Genomic DNA, 27,854 nt, shown 5'->3' on the forward strand with positions numbered 1-27,854 from the left:
AACCCTAAGTCCAGGAACAGGACCATGGAAAATGGCCCTCGAGACCCCCTCTGCCTAGAGTTGCCTGTAATTATGTCATCCTTTCCTAGTCCCTTTCAAGATAAATAGAACATGAGTGGAGAAGTGAGAATACGCAAACTGCAGATAAAGCAGGCCCCCTTGAAGAGACTGTAGACCCCTCTATCTCGGTCACCCGCCCTGCCCCAGATGGGGTTCTTCCTTCACGGAAGCTTTGACCCCACCAGACCCTGCCCAGGCGTCAAGGAGAGCCTCAGCCAGCCCTGCAGTCTGGGATATGATGGGGAACCATGAGACTCCCCAAGAGTATAGATACCACCTCCCCCTGGTACCTGCTGGGCATAGCTGCCGTCCTCCTAGTAGCCAGGGGCTAGGCCGGGCTCACACATCAGACTCAGTGCAGTGTGTTATCCTTTAATGAAAAGCTGGGTCAATGGAGTCACCACTCTCCCCAAGACCCCCCTGCAGCAGATAGCCCTCACCATGGCTACCTATGAGGCAGGGCAGCCCTGTGGCAGCCAGCCCTGCTGAGGGGTCAGTTTGTAGTGGCCTAGGAGAGGCGTTCAACTCTTAGACCTAGGATGTGGCAGCAGCAACAAGGCCAGAGGCAGCTCAACTGAGGTCAGGGATGGTGGAGGAGGCAGACAGGAAGCATGGGGCTCTCCTCCTTCCTCTCCGAATCCCAGTGTGGCCAAGGCCAGTGTTCAGGAACAGTACAGTCTCCCCAGGGGCCTGGAGTCTCTTCCAGCCACTCTCTGGAAGCCCTTAGTCCCCAACTCCCTGCAGACCGGTGTCACAGGGTCGCTGGACTCGGGGAGCAGGCTGGGTACTACCCCATGAGCCTTGAGGCCCCGGGTCTAGGAGGTGGATCCAGCAGGGCCGAGGCCAGAGCCACCAGGAGACTGGGAGTCACCTTCCACTAACTCTGCTTGTCAGTCACTACAGGCACCTAAGAAGGTGGCCTCTCCTCCGAGCTTCCAGGGCTGCCCAGGCCAGGCTGAAGCAACAGCAGGCCGTGGCTCCTGGGTTCCTATAGATCTGTGACCTTGTTTTCCACAGCAGCTGCAATCTGCTGGAGCCGATAGCCCAGCTGCATCTTCTGGGCCGTGCCATCCTCCTCCAGGGCAGTGATGATCTGAAACAGAGACCAATGCCATCAGGGGAGACTTCTTTGGCCAACGTGTTTGCTGCAAAATTCAACAGCCCTCCTAAGACGCTGTGGCATGAGTGGGGTAGGAGGCCAAGAAACCCAGCCGGTCACTTCACGTACTTTCTGGGACCTCAGGGCCTCGCTGGCGGGAGGGGTAATAACATCAAAGTCACCGCGGGGTTCCAGGATGAATAAGGTAGGAAATGAAGGACCTGACTCAGTAGCGAGCTCCTCAGAAGCCCTGCTGCAGCCATCCTGGCTAACCCACCCGCCAGCCAACAGTATTTCCCAAGTTCCTGTCTGCCCGGTGCCAGACAAGGGGCAGAGACCCAAGAATGACCAGACACGTGGTGGGAAAACAGACACTGATCAAACACGAACCACGAATTTGGGGCTGCCACCAAGGGAACCGGTAGGAACCGGAGGGCAGCAGCACTTGGGAAAACAGCTACTGCCCACTATGTCTCCACAAGGGGACATGCCTGCATCACACCCTGCCTCCCCCAAGCCCCGTGCCATGGCCCACACCATGCCGAGGAAGGCTGTGGGCCATGAGACAGGTTCCTCATCTCTGAGCAGCAATAGCCATGTCACTGGTGCCACACAAACATCTAAGTGGACTATTCCACCAGGCATCCAGCAGGTTGACTGGCAGGTGCTCAGCTCTTCAGGCACAGCCCAGGGATCCTCCAAAAAGCTTCACCAGCTCCAGTGTACCCTCACACCCCTGGCCCTGTGCCTGGACTCTCCTCTTCGCAGCTCATGCAGCCAAGCCAGGCCTGCACTTGCATGTTGGCCGTGCCCAACATGCTGCCAACTCAGCAAATGCACACCATCTCCAGGCCCTGGTAGACCCCTTGGCCCCCACAACCACCAGCACTGTGCCTCGCCGTCCTGCTGGGGAGCTGGAATGGGGAGCAGTGGGACAGGTGAGAGCACAGCCAATGCCAGGAAGCCCGCCTGGAAAACACTTCTCAAGCCACCAAGGGGCCCGGCCCCCCACTACTCTGTCCCTGGGGAAGACCAAAGCCCCCAACGTGAGTCACAGGGTCAGAGCCCCTTAAGTCTCCTGGGAGGCCTTGGGTCAGCCTCCCAGTCGGGGTCCAGGGCCTGCCCACCTGGTCATAGTACTTGTTGATGTACTTGTAGAGTTCATGCAGGGCCACTCGCGCCCCGAGGTCTCCGGAGTAGTTCTAGGGAAGAGGCCAAATGAAAGGTGAGAGAGACGAGGGGTGCAGAGAGCCACAGGAGGCAGCCCAGGACCCCAGGGAAGGGCTGGGGGAGAAGGGGACCTGAGAGGTAGAGAATGGGATGGGCACTACAGTGGGAAGCAGAGTCCCCTCCATGGCCCAGGGACCCCAGGCCAGGTGTGCCAGATGGGGACAGAACAGGGTAGAGCAAGGGGGCCTCCTTGGTAGGAAGACAGCCCAGGTCTACCTGCTTCAGCAAGGTCTGGGGTTTCCACTGAAGCCCTGCCTCTCTCACCCCCTTGAGGTTCTAGCCCAGACCCTCTGCCACCCAGATGACTCCAGAGCCAAGTGGCACAGATGCCACTTGCAGGCTGACAGCCCAGCATGATTCTGCTCTGGCCTAACTCAAGTATTTCCTGAGGTCACTCTCAGGCCCCTCCATGGGGACATCTCTGAGCCTCAACTTCCTCACCTGGACGATGGAATTGGTGTCACCTAGCTTGTGGAGTTCTTGTGAGGATCAAATAAGACAATCAAAGCACCCCATGAAGGGCTTCACACACAACACCCCAAAATTATATCTGCTATTAGTGTTGTGGTTGTCATCATCAACATTTCAGAAACATTGTTCATAAACTCCCTGGAGTTACATTTTAGGGCGGTTTCAGGAATGGGAGAGGTGAAGGGGACACCTGTGCCACCAAGGGAAGCACAGCAGTGGGAAGACGCATGCAGGCAGACCCAGGCAGGCCTGGGGCTGAATCCCAGCTACCTTGCAAGAGCCTGGCTGAATCAGGGTACATGGCAGCTGCCAGGACAAGACCCCTGCTTGCTCTGTGATGAGATGGTGGGAGCCCTGGTCTTTCAGTGGCAGTTGGAACATTCTGCATTTATGTTTCCTGCCCCAACCAGCTCACAGGGCTGCTGAGGTTCCCAAGGGCTTCCCTGCAAAGGGGCAGTGTGAAGGGGGAAGGACCGTTGTGGCAGGAGGCCTATGCCCAACCCAAGAAGCAGAGGGAGGCCTTACCCAGGACAGTTCAGCCAGGACAGAGTTCATCTCTTGGTCGCTGGCTGGGACAGTCTGTCTGATGTCTGCATAGTACCTGCCAGAGAGCCAGGGCACAGCAGCTGCTGGGTAAACAAGCCCACTCCCCTGCTCCCAACCAGAGCCCACCCCCCAAGCCTCAGCTGCACACGCCCTCCAACCTCTACCCACCGTGCCCTCCAGTACCTTTCCACCATCCGCTTGTACCGGGGAATGTCCCGTGCATACAGAAGTTTGTTGATCGGGGAGTCCTGGACATAGCAGGAGGACAGCAAAAGAGGAAGGAAGGAAGGATGAGGGTCCCTGTTCGAGTGATCAAGTGTCCTGGGTTTCCCAGTACTGCTTCAGTTTTGAAAAGGAAAAGTCTCACATCCCAGGAAGCCCCTGAGTCCCGGAAAACCAGGACAGGTGGTCACCCTCGCCTACTTCCTTCCGCAGGAGCCTCTGCTGCTCCCTCCCTTCCACCAATGTCCAGTCTCTGATGTCATCGGAAATCATTTCTCAGCTCCACATGCCACCATCTAGATCCAGCAAGAGCCCGGTACGTAGGGCAGGACGCATGCTGTTCACTCCCAGGGTCATCATTTTAAAAATGAGCAAACAGACCCAGAACATTACCTAAGCGGCCACAGACCACCTCTCTCCCCAGTGGCTGAGCTAGGATTTGAAGCAGGTCTGTCCAGTTTCCACCACTTTAACACACCTAGACACAGCGTCTACAACTGAACTGGGTTCAAGTCCCAGCAGCCATGGGCTCTGGGCAGCATACTTCTATTCTCAGGACCTCTCCTCATCCTAGAGCTGCTGGGAAGGTGAGAATATCTCGAGGTGGCACTGTCCCCCATGAGCAGGGATCCAAGGCCAGCTCCTCTGTCAACCTGAGTCAGGATTCGCGCCTTCTTGACAACTCCCCATGGGGGAACCCTTGGCATTCTTTGTTCGGACTACTCCTGAGCTACCCAGGAACCATTTGCTGTTCTGCTGGGAAGGGGAGGTACTGGAAGGATCTGGCAAAAATCCCAGCCACCACATAGGGTCTACCCTGGAGGTGGCCCTGCGGGTCCTGGTGTGGCCCTTTGATTCTTAGCTCATTATAGGCATGATGACAGCATGTGGAACAAAAATGGCTCCCAAAAGACAGTGCTACAATTTTGGACAGAACTTTCCGTTTTTGTTTTTGTTTTCAGACAGGGTCTCGCTCTGTTACCCAGGCTGAAGTGCAGTGAACAGAGTAGTCATGGCTCACTGCAGCTTCAACCTCCCAGGCTCAAGCCATCCTCCCACCTCAGCCTCCCTAGTAGCTGGGACCACAGGCACACACCACCACTCCTGGCTAATTTTTGTATTTTTTGTAGAGACAGGGTTTTGCCATGTTGCCCAGGCTGGTCTCAAACTCCTGAGCTCCTCAGGCGATCTGCCCACCTCAGCCTCCCAAAGTGCTGGGATTCTAGGTGTGAGCCACCGTGCCAAGCTAATTTTGATTTTTCCCAGAGGTGTAGGGATGTATCTCTCAAGAAGTCCCAAGCCAACTGAGACCTGGGGGTCTAGGCTAAGCAGAGCCCCACTCATGGACCTGCAGAGTCACACGAGGGCCCTGCCCACTGGGTGCTTGAGCAGACACCTTGGGGACCTCATATGTCAGGGGACTCTCGGCTTTGACTGCTATGACAATAGACTCCCAACCTCTGTGCTCCCGGACGGCTCCAACTACTCAGTCTCCTGTGCTTCCCAGCTCCCCTCCTCACACATCCCTCAAACTGTGACACTCCATGAACTCTCTTCCCTACTTCCCTACTGGCAGGCAGACACCTCCACCACCCTAAGGAATTAAACCCAATCAGCAGCCCAGAGCTGCTCTGGGATTGAACAATCCATGTCTCTATCTGGAAACCCCACAAACACCAGACTCACCTTCTCCAAGTCTAAGCTTACCACAGCCAGAGGCCCAGGGATCATGTGTGACTCCCCTCCTTCTTCCTCATCCCCCACATCCAACCTTCAGCTTTTGCCTGCCCTGCACCCTCCCACCCGGCTTGAACCCAGCCACTGCTTGTCAGGACAGCACAGCGCCCTCTTGGGACTCCCTCACTCAGCTCATCCATGCACAGCAGCCACAATGTTCCACCAAACTCTCAGGTCTGGTCACATAACTTCCCTGTTCCCAGACCTTCTGTGGCTCCCACTGCCCCAGGAGTGAGTCCTGACCAACTGGCCCTGGCCTACTGCCACGCCTGGCCAGCATTCTATGCCCCAGCCACACCAGGCTGTACTTGCTGCACACAACTTCACCTGTGAATTGGCACACAGTGTCCCCTCCTCTTGCTCATCCCTTAAAACTGAGGTGGCCCCGGGATGAAGCCTTGGCTTGGGAGGTCAGAGGTCTCCCCTAAGCCCTCCTTGAAGTTCTCAGAAAAGCCTGGAATCTGAGTGCACACACAGCACTGTCCACCCTCACCCATCCCCCCGTGTCCATCCCAGACTCGCTCACCCGGCCCAGCTTGTGGTCGGCCAGGGTGCAGGCGTCCATGAAGGTCTGTGCAATGACAAGGAGCACCGCATCCATGTTATCAGATGTTTGCACGTCGAACACAAACTGCGGGTTTTTTATTATATTGATCCAGAACCTCAGAGGCAAGCTGCGGGTGGGGCAGGCATGGCCGATGAATGTGCTGGGGAGGCAGAAGAGAAGACCCCCCACACACACCTAGAGCCCACCCAGCTCCACCCCACCTGTTGGTCTTCCAGATGTGGATGGTGTCCTGGTCGGAGATGCCATGCTGCTGGGCCTGCTCATCCAGCAGGTCAAAGAAGTACTTCACAGCGAGCGGCACGGGGCGGCTGGTGCTGAGAATCACCTGGAACAGGTCATCCACGAACTTCTGCAGGGTGCCCTGTGGGAAGGAAGAAGCAGAGAGGTGTGGTCAGCAAAGGGCCCTCAGCAGCAGCCCAGCCTCAGACACCCCCCGGCACTGTGCCTGCACGAGCCCCACACCACCCCCAAATCCCACGAGTGGCCATGCTCCCTCTCAGCCCAGGCCCCACTACCTTGGCAGCCCCACCCCACCTTCATGGACAGCAGGCGGGTCAGGTAGATCTCAGGGATGGCCTTGGCGCGCTCACGCTCCCCGCCCCGAAGGCTGCCCCTCCGAGGCCTGGGCGGCTCCGGCTCATCACTTGGCTTCACCAGGTGCCAGGGCCGGATGCCCCCCTCATCTACATCCTCCAGCATTGGGGTCCCTGTGCCAAGAGCCCACAGCTGTCACCCCTCCCCAGGTGCCACCTCCCCAGGCCCCCTGTTTCTTGCCAGCTCTCCCAGGGGTGGGGGCACCTGGTTGAGGGATTTCCTGGGCCGAATGGAAATAGGCACAAGCCTGCCCTGAGGCCCAGAGGACCTTCCCCATGACTCCGGGCTGGGCACAGCAGGGGCAGAGGACCGTGATGGGAGCGGTACTCACGCTCTCCAGGGACATAATCCTGGTTTTCCCGGAGCACATGCTTGGTGAGGCAGGGGACGAGGGCCACAGTTGCTCCATCTGGGACCTGCTGAGCACAGCTGGTGATCCCTCCACCAGTCCCACCCCACCATGCCCTCCTCCAGCTCCCACTCCTCCTACCTTGTAATGCTGCAGTGTGTTCAGGCGCCTCCACAGACCCTGGACCTCAGAAGTGACATCCTCGTCAGAAAGAATGAGGTGCCCGGCCACCCCAGACCGCCACTCTGCAAGGGCAAGGCAGAACTGGGTGCAGGGCTGGAAGATACCCTTCCCATAGTGGAGCCCATCTCCTCCTCCACAGGGACACCAGCCCCTCCATCATGGGGCAGCCTTACTCAACCTCTCCAAAGACCAAGAGCAGGGACCCCCTCCCCAGATGAGAGGCTGTCCAAGAAAGATGTTCCAAAGCCAGCTTCTGCCTGCCTCCCAGCATCCTCCCCACCCTGAGTGATGAGTTGTCCCTGCAGAGTTGGTCCGGGGCCAGCCCAGGCCCAACAGTGGCTCAGGTCCCCAGGGGCTCTCCACGCCCTCACCAACATCAAGGGTGCGAGGGTCTGGCCGCTGGGTGAGAGGCACTCCTTTATAAAGCTGGTCCAGCATCTTCTCCTTTGCCTGGGAGATGGTGTCACAGTCTAGGACCTTCACGGGCACGCCCTGGGCCTCTCCTGCCCCAGGCCCCACAGCCAATAGTGCATTCAAGGTCTGTGCAGGACACACAGGAGCCATCAGGGTTCATGTGCACTCAGGATGACCAAGACACAGGCCAAGGGCAGAGACAACTCATGAGAAACTGCTGCCTCCAATCCCCACGCACCACACAATCCCTAATTCTCGTCTCTTCACCTGCCTGCCTTCCCCAGGGACAGCAGCTTCCTCCCCATTGTGACCCCAGCACCTAGCGCAGTGCACTTGTAAACCACTATGGGGTAAATGGCAGAAAAAAATGAGTGAGCACAAGTCCCTCATCACTCAGATCCCCAGGTTCCTGGCTGAATGGGTCAGGCTGACGGAGTTTCGGGAAGCCTGCATTCCCACCATCGGGAGCAAATATTCCCACCTATCCGACAGGGGAGGGGTTCAGCAGGCCTGAATGGGGGTTTCCCACAGGAACCCTTGTGCGTAACTAAGGGGAAAGCAAACCCAGAGAGAAGTGCCTGCCAGAGTGAGGCTGGCTTGGTGGGCAAGGCCGCATTCCTGGTAGGAGGGCCAGGCAGACAGGGTCAGGCCCTGACACAGCTCAAGCCCATGGTCTAAGGTAGGGCTGGCTTCTCCCAAACCCTGGTTGTGGCTACCCTAGTTCCATCCCTAGCCTGGGGCACATAGAGGCCTTATCATCAAAGTCTGCCCTAAACTGCTATCCTGCTAAGCTAGTCTGATGGGCTCTCTCCAGGAGCCAGCCAGAGGTCAACCCAGCTCTACATCCAGGTACCACATCAGAAGCTGGTGTCCAGACCCCACACACCCACACACTCTCCACCCTCGCCCTCACCGCACTCAGACTGCAGGCCACACACTTGCACACCCTCACCAGGGGACGGTACTCCACATCCTCTCTGAGCAGGCGGTTGTCGTTCAAGGTGTATTTGGCCTTGCCTGTCACACTGTCCACTGGCCCCTTATCCACTTGGTGCTTAATCCCTCGAAAGAGCATGTACAGAGGCTCCCCTACGGAGTCCTAGGAGAGCACAGGCAGTTAGGGCCCCCCAGCAGGTGGCAGAGGTGTATGGGACATGACGCACACTGGGGAAGGGGACAGGACATGGGCTTAAGGGGACTGAGGACAGGCTGAGCAGGAGTCTCTGCTCTGGCACAAGTGTCCGAGCTGCATGGTGGCTGAGGGCTTAGAAGTTTGGAGGGCCTGACCCTCCCTGGACAGGAGCCCTGTCCACCTCTGCCCCCTCACCCTCACGAAGGTATACAGACAGATGGACATCCAGTTGGTGAGCAGCTTCTCCACCACAGTCTCTGTCCTGAGATGATGGGAAAGGGGAGTGCCAGGGTCAGCAGGTGGGGCTGCGGGCCTCTCTATCCTGCAGACCCCCCAGCCCGAGGCCCCACCCCAGCTCCAGCTGTCCAGGGCCCACCCAGCCCCAACAGCCACACAGACCTGCGCAGCATCAGCTTGGGGTTCTTGGCCACATACTGGGCAACCAGGTCACTGAGCAGAGTGCGGAGGATGTCAGTGAAATACTCAAGCTTCCCATGCAGTGCCACGGTGAGCAGAGATGCCACGTAGGCACGGTCCCGAGCTGAAAAGGTGCGCTGGCTCTCCAGCGTGTGGATGAACTGCAGCCAAAGAGAAGGGATGGGAAAAGGGGTTTAGGGGGACAGAGGGGCGGGCTCAGAAACCATGCCCTGGAGAAGGGGCAGGGCCAGGGGCAGGCCAGGAAGATGCAGCTGGGGGTACCTTGGTGAGGAAGAGCTTGCTGTTGAGCAGGTTAGAGAGCTGCCCCAGCCCTTGCTCCACAGTGGGCCGTCTGCTCTCAGGCACACCCAGGTCCCGGTGCAAGGGCGACTCGCGGTGCCCAGGGAAGAAGATCCTCTCCGCATACACCTTGTAGTCGAGGAAGGGGATGCCGCTGCCCAGGAGGTCACTGGTGAGATCGGTCATCTCAGTCATGAGGTCTGTTAAGCAGAAGAGGCCAGGTTAAGCACCTGTTAAGCACCAATCCCGTGTGATGGGAGTGGGTTTGGGCAGAGTTCTGGAGGGCGGGGCCCATTCTCTCAGCCACACCTGTGAATTCCTTCTTGCAGCGGTCCCGCACACTGCTCTCCAGATTCTCCAGCTGGATCTGAACCTTCTTATAGTCCCTCAGGGCCTGCTTGCTCTTCCTCCTGCTCAGCCCCAGGGTCAGGAGAGGATGGCCAGATGAGTCCTACTCGCCCAGGCCTGCCTGACAATCCCCAGGCACACCCCGGCCTCATCCAGCACAGTCCAATGCAGCCATGCCAGCCAAGCTCAAGCCTAGCCCAGTACGATTCAGCCTGTCCCGTCCCAAGCAAGTCACACACACCCATGCCCCGTCTAGCCCAGCACAGTTTAGCCTAGAGATCAGCCAACCACAACCAGGCCAAATCCATCCCACAACCTATTTTTATAAAGATTTGTTAGAACACAGCCACTTTCATGTGTTTCCATGTCGTCCCTGGCTGCCTTTGTGCCACAGTGGCAAAGCTGAGTTGTTGAACAGAGACCACTTGGCCTGCAAAGCGAAAATATTTACTCTCTGGCCATTTACAGAGAATGTTTCCTGACTCCTGGCCCGGTCTGTCCCTTCCCAGTCCAGCCAGATCCCACGACCTGCCCCAGCCCAGCCACATCTGGCTGCACCCACCTGTACATGAGGACAATGATGATGACACCCAGAGCCAGAAGAGAGGTGCCCACCCCCAAGCCCACCTGGGCTGCCACAGGAAAAGCCCCAGGGCTCTCGCCGTCATACTGCACGTGACCCAGGGAGAAGCGCAAGTTCCCCATCTGCACCTGTGTCAGGAGCCACCTGTGAGCAAGGGTTTGGCCCAGGTCAATGCCCAGCCCGGCCAGGGACCTGCCCACTGACCGTGAACTCAGGCAAAGAGTCAGGTGCCTCTCGGAGGGCATGGTGCCGTGGCAGGGGCTGCTCCACGGGGGGCTCGCAGTACAGGTGGTGCCGCGTCAGCGTCTTCACCACACAGGGGCCATCCCCTATCATAGCCACCACCTCCTCCTTGGACATTGCAAGGTCCAGGTTCTCCCCCTGGAACAGAGGGTCACCGATCAGTCACTCAGGACCCTTCCCTCAGATCCTGTCCTCCCCAAATGTGGGAAGGACCCTGAGACCCAGCCGCAGCAGCAAAGCTGACAGCCTCTCAGCACCCTTCCCGAGTGCAGGCCAGTCACACGGTGTCCTCCAAGCTGCTCCTCATCACCCTTTGTTGCCCTTTCCTATCTTTCTTCTCCAGAACGAAAAATCTGGAGAACATAAAGCTGCCTCCCAAATCCTGCCCAGCTACCTAACAAAGCTGGAGCCCCCAATCTGTGTCTGATGACTCACCAGGGGGGTGATGATGCTGTATCAACCTGTGGTCTGCCCGCATGCCCATCTGCTGCCCACTGTGTATGTCCAAGACACATGCCTAGCGCATGTCCATGTGAGCCAGGCTGCCAACGGGGGTCAGCCCGATGGCCTATGTGGACCACACCACCCAGCTACTGCACAGGCCGAACATACAAATGCAGTCATTCCAGAGCCTGCCATGGAGTGCATCAGGACCCGGGCCACCAGCCAAGCAGTCCAGCTCGTGCCAGATGCTAGGCTAGGCACCCCCCACCAGCCCCCTCTGCCCCCACCACAGCAAGGATGAGGAGCCATGTCCATCCACCGGCCCTTGCTCTACTGTCTCGGCCTCTCCGCCACACACAGCAGTGCTGTCCAGCCAAGGGAAGGGTCTCGGGGCCCTGCCAGGTCCAAGTAGGAGCTGTACCTCCACGGAGAACACACTCCCAGGCTTGTGCCGGAATGGCATGGTGGGGTCCTCAGGGTTGAGTGGCTGCAGGGTGGGGTCGGCCTCATAGGAGAAAGGTGTGGGGTTCAGTGTTGCAAAGTCAAAGACCAGGTTGTCAAGGATAAATTCCACCCGGACCCAGGGGTCCTCAGGCAGGCCTGGGAGGGCAGGTGTGCGGCACGTGATGAGCTGGGAGGAGTTGACATGGCACGGCTCCTCAAACTGGAAGGAAGACAGGCAGGTTGACGAGGGGCCAAGCAAAGATGGGAAGAGCCTCCTCTGGCACCTGCTCTGGCTGTCCCCAGGGTGTGGTATGGGGCAAGGGGAGAGTGTGGGGGTACCCAAGGGTGTCCTACTTGCTGGCTACTGCAGGAGGGTCCAAGGGAACATGCCGTCTCCGGGACCACGCGACGCCTCCGTCCAAGCCCCTGGCTGGGCTGCAGCATTCTCGAGACCACGGTCACCCGGATTCTTGGCGTCTGTACCACGTCCAGATTCTGGCCACGGACGCATATCTCACGTCCTCCACTGAAACAGACCGTGAGCTTACGTAACGTAAGATGGCTTATGTTACCTGGACCTAAAGCACAGCCCAGTCCCGGCTAGGTCAGCTCAGCCCCAGCCCCAAACCACACGACCCCTTGCCCCTACTAGCAGCATGGGATTCTCAGTGCCTCAACATAAAGCCCTACAAACCCCCACATAGTGGAGCTGCAAAGACCTCCCTGCCACCTGCCATGCAGCCACACCCCTGGCCCAACACCTGAGGAAGCTCTTGGTGGGGCCAGCAGAGGTGATGTTGGGGTCCAAGGTATACTTGAACTGTCCGCGTTGAAGCCTCCGCTCCGTGGCCCCAAACCACACAGCCACAGGGAGCGTGGCAGGCGTGGGGCGTGGGCTGGTCTCACACCGCAGTTGTTCTGACTGCTGCTCCGGCAGCCTGGGAGGGGAGGTGGGAATGAATGCAGGGGCGCAGGCAGGGAAAACTTGGACCACTCAGGCCCCAACTGGCTTCCCTCAAGCGCTGACTGCAGTCTCCACCAGGTGTCCCTGGAGGTGCACTCCCACCACAGCTGGCTAGGGAGGGTCTGGCCACTCTCTGAAGGAGCAGACTGGCCCTCTTCCCCTTTCTGCTCTCCCCAGGATCTCAGACCCCTCCATCTTTCCCCTGGAGCAGATGGATTTTTGCAGGATGAGGAAGTGGCCCTCACAAGTGACAAGGCTGGTCTCCAACCACCACTCGGATGTCCTCCAGCCGCCCAGTCAGGAGCTTGGAGCCATTCAGGGTGAGACGGGTGCCCCCAGCTCTGGGGCCGCGGGCCGGGAAGATGGAATGGACCTTCGGATCCTGTGGGACAGACAGGGAGAGAGATGAGCATCAGACCAGACACATGGAGGCAGGGACAGCCTGAGAGACAGGCTGGCCCAGGACTGGGAGCCCCACCAAGGAATAACCAGATGGGTTGAGAGGAGCCACCAGAGAGGTTGGCCCGCTGGCAGCTGGGGGTGGCTCAGCAGTCAGGTACCTGGTAGGCAAAGTCGTGTTCTGAGACACCACGTCCTCTTCCCGGCACCTCCACCGCTGTGGCGCCGGCCACCTCCTCCCCACTGGCCCCGGTGATGCACACGAGGCTGTAGGCACAGGGCAGGCTAGGGGGTGCCAGGCTGCATCAAGGGCCCCTCAAGCTTACCTGGCAGCCCCTCTCCCTGCCCTACTGTCAGGTGGTCTTCCCCTTCCCATGCTCCATAAGATTGACAGAGACCCTCTCTCACTTTGGAGGGAATTCTTTATGACACATCAGAAGGCCTTGGTATCTGAGAATTAATATTTGTGGCTTCAATCATTTAAGTTCAACCCCAGGGGCCCCCAATAAGGAAGAATTTATCTGTGGCATAAATTTACAAAGGGGCCCTGTCAGCCTGGTTGTGGGGCGAGCTGCTGAGCAAGTGAGTGGGCACAGCTAGCCGCCCATGTCCTCCGCCACGTCACATGCACAGTACCCACTCAAAGCATGGTAGAAACTTGATTTATTCAGGAAAAAGAGTCCCTGAAAGCCTCTAGTCAGACAGGGAAATACAGGTGAAGGGAAAGTGAACCATCTAAGAAAATGCTGGTTCTTAGCCAGAAAATAGAAGCTTGGGCAAATTAAACTTCCAGAGTGTTAAGCCTGCAGTGGCTCAACTCAGTGACATTGTCACAGTTGTTGCAAACACTAGGAAGACACAAGTGACGTGTGAGCCACCCAGGGGAGGCTCCAGACAGAATATATGCTAATTGCTTCATAAATCACAGCAGTCTTATGGTCTGGAACACTAACAGTCTAGATAGTCACCGTAAGTTCTCGGTCATAACACATTCAGGGGACACTCCGTGCTCCAGGAGAGTGGTTCCTTGTTTCAAATACAGATTTGGGGGCCCCACCGTGGGCCTCCTGAATCCAGATGTTTGTGTTGGTTTGGGACAGGATCTGCAGGTTACCCTGATATTCAGCCACGTTTGGGCCCTGCTGCTTATGGACATCTCCTTAGGAATGTCCTGCGTGTGTACCTTTGGGGCCTGCAACCGCTGGCCAGGTTACCATAACCCAGGAGCCCCAGGAAGGCAGCAGGGGTCCCTAGAGACGACAGTGGAGCCTGGCCCTCGGCCAGTGTGCCTTTCTGAGGTGTGCCTTCCAAGTCTACCTTCCTGAAGAGCCTGGCAGCCCAGGACAATGCCTGGGGAAGAGTGAGCTGGTGAGAAGGCCAGCCCCTGAGCTTATCTGTCTGATCTGAGGGTCCTGCTGCCACAGCTATTAATATATCCACAGTCCCTCAGAAGACCAGGTGAGCAGAGCAGGAAGCAGAGCCACGAGTCAGTTCTGGGCAGTGACGGGCCCAGGAAGGATTCCCCAGCAGCCCAGGCCAGGAACCTACAGGTGTGGTGGGTGCTCAGGGTCTTCAGTGGCAACGCTGGCACTCGGGCATTGTGGCCAGGATCAAGGAACAGGGAGAGAGGGGGGCAGATGAGCGGTGGGTGGGAGGCCCCAAGCAGCAACGCCAACCGCGGAGGCCCCAGGCTGCGCCGTGCTCCTGCTGGGTGCAGCCAGCTTACCTGCTGGAGACCTCGTACTCCTGGGCATCCACAGCACAGGGCACTCCAGCCACCGTGACCATGCCCAGCACATCCTGCACATGCTGGCCCAGGTTGGAGCCCCTGATGGTGACACGGGTGCCTCCGTCTACAGGCCCAGTCAGTGGCTCCACCTGTTCCAGGACAAGGACTGCTCACCTCTACTCAACTGGAAAGGCAGCCCCAACCTCCCACCTTTGGGCCCCCACACCCTCCCTCTAAGGGCAGCACTGAGGAAGGGATGGCCAGCCTTTCAACAAACCGAGTGGATGAGGGGCGCTGGGCACTGGGTGGCCACAGCCTCAGCCTCACCACAGGCCTCCCGGGTCACACAACGTGGACGCTCCCCCTCACACCACACACAGCCATACTGGGGCATGGCAGTTTGGCAGCGGCTGCAGTCTCCATGTCCCACGGAACAGTCATACAGTACCACTGGGGGTGGCAGAGACACACGTGAGAGGCAGGCCTGGGAGAGCCCTGCTACCACCGCCAGCCCAGCAGCCCGCAGGTGGCTCACCATGCAGCCCCTCAGCACTGTCCACACGCAGACGGCCGGCCCGACGCAGAAACAGCCCCACACGGAGCTCCGGCTGCAGAGCCTCATAGCTGAGCTGGAGAAATGGGAGTGGGTTCAGAGTCAAGCACTGGGGGAAGTGTCAGGCCTGGGGAGGGGTTAGTCAGAGAAAGGACTAAAACGACCAGTTAGGAGCATAGGGTCAGAGGGACCCCATGGGGCCACAAGTTGGAGGGCAGAGCCAGAAATGGAGTATGGGGACCCCATGGGGTCTCAAGTTAGAGTTCAGAGCTGGGATGCAAGGACTCCACGGGGCACATGGTCAGAGGTCAGAAATGGGTGTGGAGACTCCCTCAGGGCGACACGGTCAGAGCGTGGCTCTGGAAAGTGTGGTGCAGCCAGCTACAGTTGGCAGCCAGCCTGTGGCCAGTGCAGTGCACCCGTGCCCACCCAGGCGCTCATGGTGTGCACCTGGTGCTGCTGGCAGGTGACATGGCACTGGGTATCTGGAGGTGGCTCACACTCGACCCGGGCCTCAACCACCACCTCGAGGCCCTCCAGCTCCATCACACACTCATTGTCTCCTGGGCCATCCTGAGGGCAGAGAACACAGCTGTTGGGCAGCTTCAGGAGCTGGGCCCAGGGAGTCCTGCAGGTCACCCAACAGATCCCCCAGCACAGCTTCTGGGTTGGAGTTGAGCCCTCGGACTCTGCCCTCCTCCTGCTCCCCAGGGCTTGTGCAGAGTTTCTCAACAGCTAAGGAGGCTGCAAGGACAGCGGCAGGCAGGACACACTGACCTGGAAAAGGTGCAGGTTCCTGCCTAGCAGCCGGATTTCCCGCTCCACATGGACCGGCATCAACGTGGAGCCCTGAACGCTCTCCACACAGGGGCAGGAGCTTGCCCCCAAGGTCGCCTCTTCCTGCAGGCACCAAGGGCAAGGCAGTCTATGGAGCCCACCCTGCCCAGCTCAGCCCTCTGCCTTGCCAGATTCCAGAGGCAAGGCCGGTGTGGGGCTGCAGACTCCACCCTGCCCCTCACCTCCTCCCAGTGCAGAATCACAAGGCAAGCTAGGGGTAGCATCTTCCCCACATCCCCTCCCCTGAGGCCTCCTTCCTGGGCTGGGCCTCACCAGCTCCCAGAGCCCGGGGGTGTCATACTGGTAGTCGAGGCTGGACGGGAGGATGAGGGGGGCGGGAGGGCCCTCAAGCTCTGCTGAGTCTCCATCACCTGAGAGGAGGGTGGAAGTGGAGAAGGCGGGTGCGTCACCCCCCGTCCACTCGTCCGCCTCGGGCAGCTCGCCGCCTTCTCTCGTGAGCCAGTCCAGGGCGGGCTTCACGGAGCCCATGGCCCCTGGGAAAGTGGTGGCAGGAACAGTGGCAGGGGGCAGGTCCAGGGGCACTGTGGGATGAAGAGCCTCGGGGCCAGGGTCTGCAGGGGGCACTGCTGCTACCTCTGAGGGTGACAGCGGGGAGGCCAAGAGGTCCTCAGGTGTGGCTGAGGGTCTGAAGTCAGTGGGGGCAGGGACAGCGGTTCCAGGTCCATTTTGGGGGCTGGGAGGGGAGGGCTCCTCATGGAGAGGCGACCCTGTGGAGCCAGGGGAAGATATGGAGCCAGAACCTGCCCATGGCCCCCAGGGGCTGAGCAGGGAAGGACTAGCCCCAGGTGAGATGTCCGAAGCTGTGGCTGTGGAGGGAGCCCCAGGCTCCACGGGAAGGGTGTCAGGAGCAGGGGTGGCCAGGGCTTTGGGGGCTGTGGGTGGGGAGGGGCTGGGTCCACCTCTTGCAGGAGGGTCTGGGGAGACAAGCGGGCTCTGAAGGGGGAGGCAGAGGAAGACAGGAAGGGCCACTCAGCAGGCAGGCGCGGGACAGGAGGCAGGCAGGCACAGTGTATGTTAAGAGGAAAGGAGACCAAGGAAAAGAGAAATAAAAACAGCCCATTAATTCTCCACTGGAGAAAACTGCGGGGGAAGGCTCCAGGGGTGTCTGTGCCGAGGTGGGGCATGAAGGCCAGACATCCCCTGCCTCTCAGCTACAAATGCCCTCTCCCAAAACAGGCGGGATGTATCGGCGGCTGTTCTCCAGGGAGTCCGTCACATACAGCGGCTCTGGTGCTCAGGACAGAGCCTCACATAGGCAGACAGACCCCGGGCCATGAGAAAAACTCTCACACTGGGACCCCCAACCCCCCCGGTATGGCCCAGCCCAAAGTCACACTCACCTGATGGCTTGCAACCATGGGCCCAGCATCACACGAGGCCTTGTGGGTGCACAGGTGCTGCCAGACACACCAGTTACACCCCCAGCGGCTGCTCACACAGGCCTGGCACCTGCACAGAGCACAGCCATGGGGCAAGGGTCGCCACAGGGAAGCCCAGGCCTGGGGACAGGGCGAGGAACTCACTGCGCAGATGGGCGGAGTTCAGTGACCGCCACACAGTCATAGAAAGAGAGGGAAGTTTTGGCGATCACAACAGCGCCAAATCTGAGCTCCACGCTCACGGATACGTAGTCTGCAGAGGGGGAGAGAGGGCCAGGGTTAAGCAGCAAGGAGGTGCACTCAGACCCAGAGCCGATATCCTGAGCCCTTGAATGGGGAAGAGGACCCGGGATGAGGGAATACAGTCCAAGGGCACAGAATGGAGGCTTCAGGTGGTTGGGGAGTGGGAGGACCCAGAGAAAGGCATCCATTCATGGCTCTTTGCCTGGATTCACACTTTAACCCCACCGCATCCCCTGAAGCAGGGGCTGGCCCCCACCAGGCTGGCCCATTCTCTCACCCACCGGCTCCTCTCGGCAGCACTGGGGCCTCACTAGGGTCTGGGGAGGGGCACATCACACCAGAACCAGTCAGCAGGGCAGGACTCTGATGTTCCCCAAAGTGGCAGGAATATGACTCCCCTGGCCACAGGGGTGGCAGGTCTGGCACTGATAGGAAAACCTGCCAAGAGAGCCAGGGACACACTGTTGGGGCTAGTGGGCAGCAGACCAGGGCTCACATTTATGGGACACCCAATGTGGGCAGGCACCAGCAATCAACAGCCCTCAGGCCTCCCCAAACACCCTCTGGCCTGAGTTAGAAATAGATGGGGAAACTGAGCTCCTAAAAGAAGTGACTTGTGTGAGGCCATGTGGTATCTGGCATGTCCGACATCAGGATCCAAGATCTCTACCCAGACCTTGATGCCCAGAGCCCTCCCCACCAGGGCCCTGCCTATCTGATCATTCACCTCCCTCGTCTCCTCTCGGCTGATGTTGGCAGGACTCATGGCTGCCACTTGCAGACAGCCCAGCTCAGGCTGGAAGCTCCATAGCCACTGCTCTGGGCCCTGGCCCCTCGAGCACTCAGAACGGCGACTGCACCTGGGCGAGATGACCAGTGTCTATCTGTGACCCTCATGGGCCACTGGGAGTTCATAGGGTAGGGACTCCTACAATCTGGAGGACCTGGGCAGGGCCCTAGAGTGGGCATGATAGAGGCTCCTGTGTCTGCCCTGGCAGGGCACTGATGCCCAGTGCAGAGGATGGGGGTGAGGAATTGGGGTGTCTGGGGATCAGGGGTTGAGAGTCATGGTCTAAGGGTCAGGAATTCTGGACAGGACAATTATGCAGGAGCATTGTGGGCTTGAGGCTGGGGCTGGGATGGGGTCAGAAATCTGACCTGCCAAGGAGCACGCACCACCCACAGTATGGGTCCCTGTGAGCAAGGCAAGATGCACAGTCCAGGTGCTGAGCACAGGAAGCCACAGGAACCTTCAGAAGCTGAGACAGCAAAGAGGACCTGAGGCCAGCAATCCAAACACCAGTGGCTCACCCACAAGTGGGTCCCTGGCCCCACCCAGAGGCCCCTCCCAGCAGCCATGCCCTGGCTTGTGCCTGGCACTCACTGTGCTCTGGGTCATGACATACAGGTGCTCAAAGGTCCCATCAAAGGTGAGGTCTCTGCTCACTGCAGACCCCTGCTGGATGCTCTGTGTGGAGTATGGGTGGCCATCGCTCCCTGGGCCCAAGTAGACCTGGGATCAGAGACCACAGGGTCTGGGACCCAAGTCCATGGCCAGAGGCCCAAAGCCCTCCCCTCCTCCACCCAATCGAAGTAATTTACAAATAGAATTTCCTCCTAGGCAGTCACAGGTCATACCAACTGGCCTAGCGGGGATGGAGGAAAGTCACAGGTAAACACCACCCAGTCCTGGGGAGAGGAGCTCAGGTCATCTCTCCTGGCCCAGGGGTCACAGGGATAGCTTAAACCAGGCTGGGTCCCTAGCAATCTGTTCCCTCCAGACTCTGGGGCAGGGGCCAGTACTTCCTGTGGGCTCACCCTGTGCAGCTGCCCTTGACTATCACCCAGGAAAGCGATGGTGTGTCCATCTTCCATGGTGACTGCCACAGCTGTTAGCTGAATCCCTGGCCACTCCAGAATTGGTGTGGCTTCCAGCGGGACCCGGCTGGCCATGGGGCTGGGCGTGTGGTCTGAGCCACAGGGATAAGCATCCAGGGTGTCCTATAGGCAGCAAGAAGCATCAGGAAGGCCCTCCCTGGATAACCTCCTCGGCCGCATCGTCCCTGGACAACCTCATTCCCTCCCCCAGCCGCTCTGGTAGCTCTCCCTGTACAACTGTGTTTTCTCTGCTGGCCCTCCTGGGACAATCTCATCCCCGCCCCCAGTCTCTCTTCCCTTTTTTATCCATCCTGAGGCTACAGCTCATCAATCCCGACCTCACCTTCCTCTCCTGCTCAAGAACCAAAGGTCTCATTCCATTCTAGGTCCCTGTCCCTACCCAAGAACCCCCAAACACCCTCCCAATCCACCGACACAAGTGCCACCCCTCCAGCATCCTGGTCCAAGCCCATCCAGACACTGCTGCCACCCGCATGCCAGATTTGTGGTAAGGTACCCTTCCACTGCCCAGGCAACATAGGAAGCACTTAATATTTGCTGATCTGATCATCCTCGTGCTACCACCAGCTGCCCTCGGACTCTCTGGGCAGCTCCTTGGCTGCAAATGCTTGGCCAGTGGCCTCAGAGAGGCGGAAAAGTGGGGCAATACTGGAACTCACCACTGGCAGCTGTGCACAGTCAGAATTGACATCATACTCGATGTAGGCCACCTCGGTCCCATCCTCAGCACGACCCTCCCGGGTGTAGCAGGCATCTCGCGTGCGATTAGCAAGCCGGTCCACCTCATCCAGGGGGAAGGCACAGAGGGCAGAGGCTCCAGATGCCCCAGCAGCCGCCGATGGGGGCCGGCCCACAGTGGGGGGTGCAGCCGAGGAGAAAGCTGCAAAGAGCACCTCCCCATGCGCCACCTCCCTGGACGTGGCCACAGCTGCAGCCTGGATCAGCCCGTAGCGGCCACCTTCGCAGGCCAGAGGCAACTCCACATAGGAGTAGTAGTGCTGGTCCCGGAGACACACTCGAGATACATAGGCACGAAAAGCTCTAGACTGAGCCTGCAGGTCCCGCCGCAGGAACAGGAAGTAGGCGCTGGCCCCACGTGCAAAGGCACTCACGAAGTGGTGGCTGTACTCGGAGAGGCGGCCCACTGCCAGCTTGGCTGTCTCCTCATAGGAGAAGGCAGCTTGGGGGTCGGGCGGCCACAGGGCCCGGGTTGTGATGGGTGGAATGCCACCCCCCACACCCCTGCTGGTGTATCCTCGCCCCACAAACAGGAGGGGCTCCCCTGCCAAGCCCTGGGCTACCAGCCCCACCGTGCTGACCGCAGGATCATTGGCAGCCACATATTGTGTGTCCCCAGGCCGCTCTGGCCGCAGCAGCAGCTGCTCGAGCTGCCCCAGGCGCCGCTGTTCACAGACCCCCTGGTGCACGCTCCCGCATACCACCAGGGCCCCTGGGCTCACCAGGAGCAGCTGATTCGGGTTGTTGGTAGGCTGGGCCTGGGGGCACTCATCAGGCATCACAGGTGGCAGGCAGTCCCTGCTGTCTAGCACAGGGCCGGTGGACACTGTGGCCTCCAGCTGCAGCCCAGGGCTCAGCTGGAACAGGAAGTTGGTAGCCCCCAGGTAGAGGGTGCCTGAGGTGGGGTCCCTTGCCAGGTGCTGCAGATACGTGCCATTGGGAGTGAATGCAGTTGGTGGAAGGGGCTGGAGGGTGAGGACCCACCCGGCCCAGAGAGCCTGGAGAAGAGCTGGGCCCAGAGCAGGCATGGTCACCTGGCAGGAAGAGAGGTCGAGAGAGTGGGGCTCACGTGGCCGCCAGAGCACCCTGGGGCCACTGGTAAGGGATAGGACTGTGGCATTGCCAAGATGCTCCTCCTAACCTAGGGGGTGAGCAGAGGAGGACCAGGCTTCTTAGATAGGCACTATGTCCAGGATGACCCCAGGACCACACACTAGAACAAGGTCAGAAATAGGAGACACTTCCTAGACAACACTGCCCATTCTCTGCAGGCACGATTCTCTCAGGAGACCTGCACCCCACTCACCATCCCCCCAGATCAGAGGGTGAGGGGCTGAGAGGCCATGCCCAGGAAGCAGGGTCTGGATGGGGCAGAAGAGCAGGTGATGGGAAGGAGGGGCCCAGACCCCAAGAAAGGAGAGGCTCTACATGGATGAGGGTTTCCCGGGCAGAAGAAGGAAGGAGAGGGAGGTCTCCTGAACCAGCAGAATGTTAGAATCAAGACAAGAGTTGGGTGCAGGGCCTTTCAGGCCAGGAATCCAGAAGGGTAATAACCACAGAACCAACAGGCCTGAGAGATGGGAAGAGGTTCCAGCTCGGAGGGGTGGGGCCTGAAGGGCTGCCCCCCACCTCCGAGAGCCCTCAGAATAGGTAGGAGTCATGCTGCTCCTAGATATCTAGTGTGAGGTCAGGCTCACCTGGCAGGGCCGGCTGGATCAGGAGACAACAGCATGACCCGTGTGGGAGTCACCTAGCAGGCGGGAAAGCCGAGTGTGAAGCCGGGGCCTGGGCTGCAGGCACGTGGAAGCCCTGGGCTCCCCACCGGGGAGGCAGCACAGAAGCACCCCCTCCCCACCGCCCAGCCTGCTGGTGGAGCTGGGCCCAGCCTGGCCCCTGGCCACCAAACACATTCCACAGAGGACGCCTCCTCAGAGCCCACATGAGGAGGGGGAGGGCAGCAGAGCCAGGCACCCGAGGGGCCTGGGAAAGGTCAGCTAGGAAGGAGCCCCGTGGCTGGCAGGGCCCAGCCAGGCCCCCAGCATGGCCTTCTCCCTGTGAGGTCCCTCTCTCTGCTCAAACTCCACCCTGTAAAGGCACCCAGGTACACACCCTCTACACAGCCAGGGGCTGTCCCAGCCCAAAGGGCCACCAGCGCTTCAGCAGACAGGCAGTCGCACAGCAAGATACATACACACCACCCACCCTGTATGTATATGCCTACAACACACACACACACACACACACACACACACAGAGAGAGAGAGATGCAGATGCCATCTATACACACAGCACAGTGACACACACAGACACAGCCACCCATGTTCAAACACCACATGAAGACACATCCATATAGAGACAACTCCCCCACACAGAAACACACTGCAGGCACATATGTCACACTCACCCGAGACATTCAGACCACCACTCACATTTAGACATACACACGCACACTCAGGCACACTCCCCTCGTTTGAGAGTACTTAGTTGGAGCCCTACGTACTAGAGAGCTGTAGAAGCTAGGCCATCTCTTGCTATTTCCTCTCCTGCAGTTCAGAATAGTGCCAGGGCCCAAGATGTGGGGTAAGTGGAGTGTGTCCTGGAGGAAGGTGCCATGCCTGGCTGTTCCCAGGCCCATCCCCAGGACCTCCCCAGACTTTGGGTGCCTGCTTTCCACACAGACCCCTTCTTGGGCCCCAGCTGAGGCTCCTGAGTCCCTGAACCAAGAAACTATGGCAATACCACCTTCCCCAGTGGTCTCTAGCCAGGAGCACCAAGGTTGGTGAAGTGCTGGGACAGACAATGCATCTCAGACTGGGAGACACTTCCCCTACTTGCCTGTGCCCAGGCCACGTTGCCCAGCCCCTCCCATCACCCAGCTGCCAAGCTGTCTGTGCAAAATATCCCAAGCGTTTGCTTCTCCCAGGTCGGCTCATCCTAGCAGATGAGGCCTGAGCAGGGTACTCCTGAGGCTGCCCTGAAGTGAACAGGGCCGGGCACAAGGCTCAGGGGAGGGTCCAGCAGCCTGGTGGAAGCCGGGACACTGTGGCCACAGCCCGGTGGGAGCAGGGGGGCCGTGGTCACAGCCTGGCTGGGCACTGCTCCCGAAATAGCTTGGGGGTTTCCATTTTTAGTGTGCAGAAAACAGGGCAGCTCTATGGGAGCAGGAACAAGGCTGCCTCTGTTAGCCACCCAAGGGGGCGGGGGGAAGGGGGCAGCAGGGAAAGTCTCGAACCCGGCCAGGATCCCAGGACTGTGGCAAGACCAGGCTGCCCAAGAGCCCCCCACCTAGTTTCCAAGGGATGAGGAAAGAAAGTTTCTTCCCATGGGAAGACAGAGTCCACCTGAGGATGGGCAGAGGCCACCTCTTGCAAGGGGCTACTGTTCAATTCTCCTGCCACCGCATGCCAGGGATGGGCCTTGGGCACAGGGTCCCATAGTTAGACCAATACTCACTCCTACATGCTTACAAATATTTGCTCAGAGCCTACTGCGTGCCAAAGTTCTCCAGCCCTCAAGGGGCAGTAACAAAACCACTCCCCATATGTGAAATCAAAACTGCATTGATGCATGACAGAGCCTTGGGAGATGAAAAAATGGTTAAAAACAAAAACAAAAAAAAAACACTGGATGAGGAGACAACAGGAAGAAATGGGCGGGATCAGAACAGCTCCTGGCCAGGCCACTGAGGAGGTCGGCCGCTGACCCACTCCAGGGAAAGTGGTCAGGCTTCTGCCAGCAGTCTCCCTGTGAATCAGGACCTAGCACCCCTTGCCCCTCCACACATACCATGGGTGTCGGAAGGAGGACAGAAAGAAGAGCAGTGACTTTTTCTCCTCCATTTCAGGCACATGGATTTCACTTAATCTCTGCCACAGGCCACTGAGCAGCTCCCAGCCCCTCCAATCTAGCCTCCCAACTCCCAACTTCTCAGGACTTTCCTTGAGCAGAATTGAGTACACCCCTCCCCCAAGAGCCTCTGGGGCACCCCAGAGCGGGAGGGATAAAGGCCTACCCCTCCAGTCCACACCTCTCCCACCCGATCCATGCCAGTGCTCCCCCACACATGCCCTTCGTTCCTGCCAGCCTGAACTGCAGGCTGCTTGGCTCCTCCAACCGCTGCACAGGCTCTTGCCGCTGCCTGGAATGCCCACTCCCTCGCTATCCCATTAACTCCTACACCAACCATCCTCTCCCTGGGGAGCCTCCCCTGTCCTCCCAGGCTCCTGAGGAGGCCGCTGCATGCGGTGGACAGAATGGACACACCTAGCCACCACCCTGACAGGCACGGCCGCTCTGCCTCAGGCTTTCCGAGCCTCAGATTTCCTAGTTGTACAATGGGAGGCAGGATTGCTCTGACCAGTAAACATGAAACAGTGTGTGCCTGGCATTAGTGATGCCAACCAGGGTCACCTTTCTCCCTGTTCCACCCTCCTACTCTGGACTTGAAGCTCCTTGAAGGCAGGGAGTATGGCTTCTGATTCAGAGGCCCCAGCAACTTACACAGACTTCAGCACAGACCAGATGCTCCCTGTATGGTGAACGAACCCCCATTTCACACCCAAGAAAACCCAACAAGTAGGGGAGATAGGGGGCCCACAATCCCTCCAAGCCACTTGGTCTCTCAAAGGGAACACATTGGCCCCACTTTTATTAATGACCAGGCCAGGGCAGACTGAAAAGGCTGATCTAGAACCAGACCTCACATCCCCAACTTACACAGCCAGGATCTCCTGCCCATTCCCAATATCTGAGGCCCTGCTCAGACTCACAGCCAAAGCCTAACTCTGCCTGTGCCCAGTGCTCCCCCACACATGCCCTGGAGTCTCTTCTGGGGCCACCCTACTCTGAACCTTTTCAGGGGGCGCAAGACTGCCCAACTTCTGTCTGTAGAGCAAGCACCTCCCGGACCCCCGTGGAGCTGTCCTCGACAACAAAAGGGGCTCACAAACCCCGCCATTCCGCACCTGCAGAGGGGCCATAGGACAGCCCACATTTGCCTTGCCTGCCAGTTAGTGGGAAACCGGCCTTCCCGTTTCACCCTCCTGCTCAGCTCCCAGGGTTCACTACAGAGGTGAGTTATTCATTGACAGTGCAGTGGTGCCCGCTGCCCGCCCTGTTTTCTGTGTGTTGAGGAGGGGTGGGGAGATCCACCATTTACCAGGCACCTGCGATGACCCAAGGCGCTCATCGATCACCCACTTAATATGTCTGTGTGTGGAGAGGAGGGTCCCCCCCACCCGCCCGGGGGTCAGGAGGCTCGAGGTCCGCCTTTGTCAGTCCCACCGGGAGCAGCCAGAAAGGGCTGTTACTACTGAGGGGAAGCCCCGACCTCCCCACTCGGCTCGTCCTTGACCCTCCCCAACCCCCAGACCCCGAGGCGAGGACCCCATCACTGGCCCTGGGAGGGCGGGGAAGGGGCCGGCCGGTCCCCGGCGGCGACGGCGAGGAGGGGGCGCGGAGGAGCAGCTCCACCTCCTCAGTCTCCCAATCGCGTTCCAGGCGGAGTCGCCAGAGTTTCCCTTCGCGCGGAGAAGTGTGGTCCCAACTCTCAAAACCAAAGCCGCCCACCACTCACCCAGGCCGCCCCTGCCCGGCGGGATCGGGGCCCCGGCCCGTTCCACCTCGGGAGCCCCGTTCCTCGCCGCCCTGGCCCCGAGCCCCGCACTCACCACCCGGCCGGGCCCCGCGGGATGTGCGCGCCGAGGCGGGCGTCGGCCGCTCCGGGCTCGGGCTCCGCGCGCAGCGGCCTCTCCCCGGGTCTGGCGGAGCCGCAGCTGTTACCCGGAGACCGAGGGGCGGAAAACTGCGCCCGCTGCCCGCCCCTCCCGCGCGGCGCTGCCACCGCCGGGAACAAAGGAGACAAAGCCGCGTCGGCCGGGCTCGTCTCCGCTCCTTCCCCCTCGCCTGCCGGGCTGCCCTCCCCCCGCCCGCCGCCCGGGCCAGGCCGGAAGCAGCCCGGAGAGCCGGGCGCGCGGCCCCGAACCGCCCGGGACCCCGCATTCCAGCCCCGCGGGCTCCGCATCGGCCGAGGGCTGGGGACCCGACCCCTCCCGCACGGGGGAGGGCGGGGGCGGGCTGCACCGCGGCGGTCGCCATGGCAACGCGGGTCGCCCGGAGGGGTGAGGAGTGAACCCCGGGAGCCAGAGCCGCCCCGCCCCGTCGGCCTCACCTGCTCGCCTCCTTGGAACCGGAACTGGGAACTTTCCTGGTTGCCAGGAGCCGAGGCGGGGGGTCGCGCTCCGCACCCGCAGGTGCTGGTGGAACAGCGTCCCGGCCTCTTCCCGCCCGTCCAGAGCCGGGTAGCACCCGAGTCCCTCACCAGCCCGACCCGTTCTTCTGCCAGCGCCCGGCCTCGCCCCGCGCCCGGAGCTCCCTTTCCCTTCCTTACCCGGCTCCGGTGGTCATCCTCCCCAACTTTCTTTACCTGAACTCCAAGGCGCCTTGTTTCTCCCCTGCGCACCTGGCCCTGCCCACCGCCCCTGCTCACCGCCCCTGCTCCCACTACTCCCCAACAGCCAATCCCTCCTTCCGGCCCCCACCTCTGGCTGTTTGAGAAGAGCATGGGCTTTGGACCTGGGCTTGCGCCATCAACTAAACCATGTAACCTGACACCAACCCCCCCCAGCCTATTTGCTCACCAGTAAGTGGGGGTGATCCCACCTCTAGCGGGGCTGTGAAGGCAGGGAACCTGGGCTGCAGAGGCGCACAAGCAAGGGCTCACTTCCTTCCTTTCTTCCCAGCCCAGGACCCAGACCTGGACCCACCCCAAGCTGAGAAGCGTTGGGCAAGTCTGGGCTCCCTCACTGGCAAACACCTGGGCCTTCTGCGGGAGGAAACGCTGGCAGAAAGGTTCTCTCCTGGGGACCATTTGTACCCTGTGCAGGGCCCTTCACACCCTGGCATGCCCACGGCTAACTCAGGACCAGAACCTGGCCCATCCTATTAGGACTTTTGGAGGACTTTGGCTCAAAGCCATTGGCACAGCTTCCTGGGAGGCAAAAACGTCACAGGCATCATCTGAAAGCCTCCAAGGCCTCCACAGGCTAGGGGAGCCTCAATCAGGAGGTTCAGGTCATCCACACTGGCTACTGCCCTAGAGCTAGAGACACCCTCTTCCCACCTCCCACCAGCTATCAAGGGTCTCCTGTCAGGTCACCCCTTTTCCTCCACTCCCACTTCCAGCACCTGAGTCCAGGTGCTTAGCACCTTGTCTGCACCAGCATAGCAATCCCTCCCTGGATCCCTCACCCTTAGCCTCTGACCTCAGACTGCCAACCTGGCACCCCGGGCCTGTGACATCATTCTGCACAACTCCCCCACACCCATCACCACCCCAGCCAGGACAGTCTGCCCCAGTCCCTCACCCACTTTGGCTTTCCTGCCTATGTAGCTTGTAGCAGCCCCCTCCACATGCACAGAATCCCTCCCTCCCCAAATCCATTCATCCAAGCACACACTTCAGGACCTATCTCACCCCAGAGGAAACTGGGACTTCCAAACCCCACAACCCCTTTCATCTGTACACAGATACGCTACCTCCTGCCCTACAAGGAATGTGAACACTCTAAGCACAGGGGTCTTTCCATCCCATGCCATTCTGGGGAGCCATTACTCGCCAAGGATAGATTGACTGAGGGACCAGGTGCTGAGAACCTGGGGTGGGGGGCATTTGGGCCATGCTCACTGCCCAAGACTGAACACAGGCTCC

At 59.7% G+C, this 27,854-nt stretch overlaps 1 protein-coding gene across 18 annotated transcripts, besides 3 other annotated features; it reads right to left on the bottom strand.

Annotated features, from left to right (window-relative positions):
• Positions 1 to 416: 416 nt before the first annotated feature.
• PLXNB1 (plexin B1) lies at positions 417 to 26,873 on the bottom strand. Of its 18 annotated transcripts, none has more exons than XM_047448333.1 (38): positions 26,785 to 26,873; positions 21,844 to 21,896; positions 20,068 to 21,180; positions 19,328 to 19,510; positions 18,894 to 19,022; positions 18,668 to 18,768; positions 18,237 to 18,369; positions 17,791 to 17,947; positions 17,411 to 17,519; positions 17,228 to 17,336; positions 16,140 to 16,820; positions 15,807 to 15,929; positions 15,480 to 15,602; positions 15,012 to 15,105; positions 14,754 to 14,926; positions 14,474 to 14,625; positions 12,909 to 13,014; positions 12,594 to 12,730; positions 12,146 to 12,322; positions 11,739 to 11,910; positions 11,362 to 11,604; positions 10,458 to 10,634; positions 10,233 to 10,381; positions 9,632 to 9,732; positions 9,305 to 9,522; positions 9,005 to 9,183; positions 8,801 to 8,867; positions 8,426 to 8,572; positions 7,431 to 7,599; positions 7,018 to 7,121; positions 6,859 to 6,943; positions 6,468 to 6,640; positions 6,134 to 6,294; positions 5,892 to 6,039; positions 3,590 to 3,654; positions 3,386 to 3,461; positions 2,287 to 2,361; positions 417 to 1,153 (listed from the first exon to the last, which is right to left on the bottom strand). In XM_047448333.1, the coding sequence occupies exons 3-38, from the start codon at positions 21,172 to 21,174 to the stop codon at positions 1,049 to 1,051; spliced, it is 6,408 nt and encodes a 2,135-aa protein (XP_047304289.1). In that variant the 5' UTR covers positions 21,175 to 21,180; positions 21,844 to 21,896; positions 26,785 to 26,873; the 3' UTR covers positions 417 to 1,048. The 18 variants fall into 18 exon arrangements, 17 of the variants coding, with proteins under 17 accessions (XP_047304289.1, XP_011532137.1, XP_047304291.1 ...); XM_011533835.2 differs by having other exon boundaries at positions 6,859 to 6,946; XM_047448335.1 differs by lacking the exon at positions 26,785 to 26,873 and adding an exon at positions 26,686 to 26,764.
• Positions 25,603 to 25,682: a silencer, noted in NCBI's record as "silent region_14326". NCBI's record gives its function as "represses an Ori minimal core promoter by ATAC-STARR-seq in GM12878 lymphoblastoid cells {active_cell/tissue: GM12878}" and the evidence as "EXISTENCE:reporter gene assay evidence [ECO:0000049][PMID:35858748]".
• Positions 25,763 to 26,362: a silencer, noted in NCBI's record as "silent region_14327". NCBI's record gives its function as "represses an Ori minimal core promoter by ATAC-STARR-seq in GM12878 lymphoblastoid cells {active_cell/tissue: GM12878}" and the evidence as "EXISTENCE:reporter gene assay evidence [ECO:0000049][PMID:35858748]".
• Positions 26,603 to 27,596: an enhancer, noted in NCBI's record as "H3K27ac-H3K4me1 hESC enhancer chr3:48471449-48472442 (GRCh37/hg19 assembly coordinates)". NCBI's record gives its function as "activates a minimal SCP1, AML or CMV promoter by ChIP-STARR-seq in primed H9 embryonic stem cells {active_cell/tissue: H9 hESC(primed)}" and the evidence as "EXISTENCE:reporter gene assay evidence [ECO:0000049][PMID:30033119]".

Source organism: Homo sapiens, chromosome 3, assembly GCF_000001405.40.
Source record: "Homo sapiens chromosome 3, GRCh38.p14 Primary Assembly".
In the NCBI taxonomy this organism is placed as follows: Eukaryota; Metazoa; Chordata; class Mammalia; order Primates; family Hominidae; genus Homo; species Homo sapiens.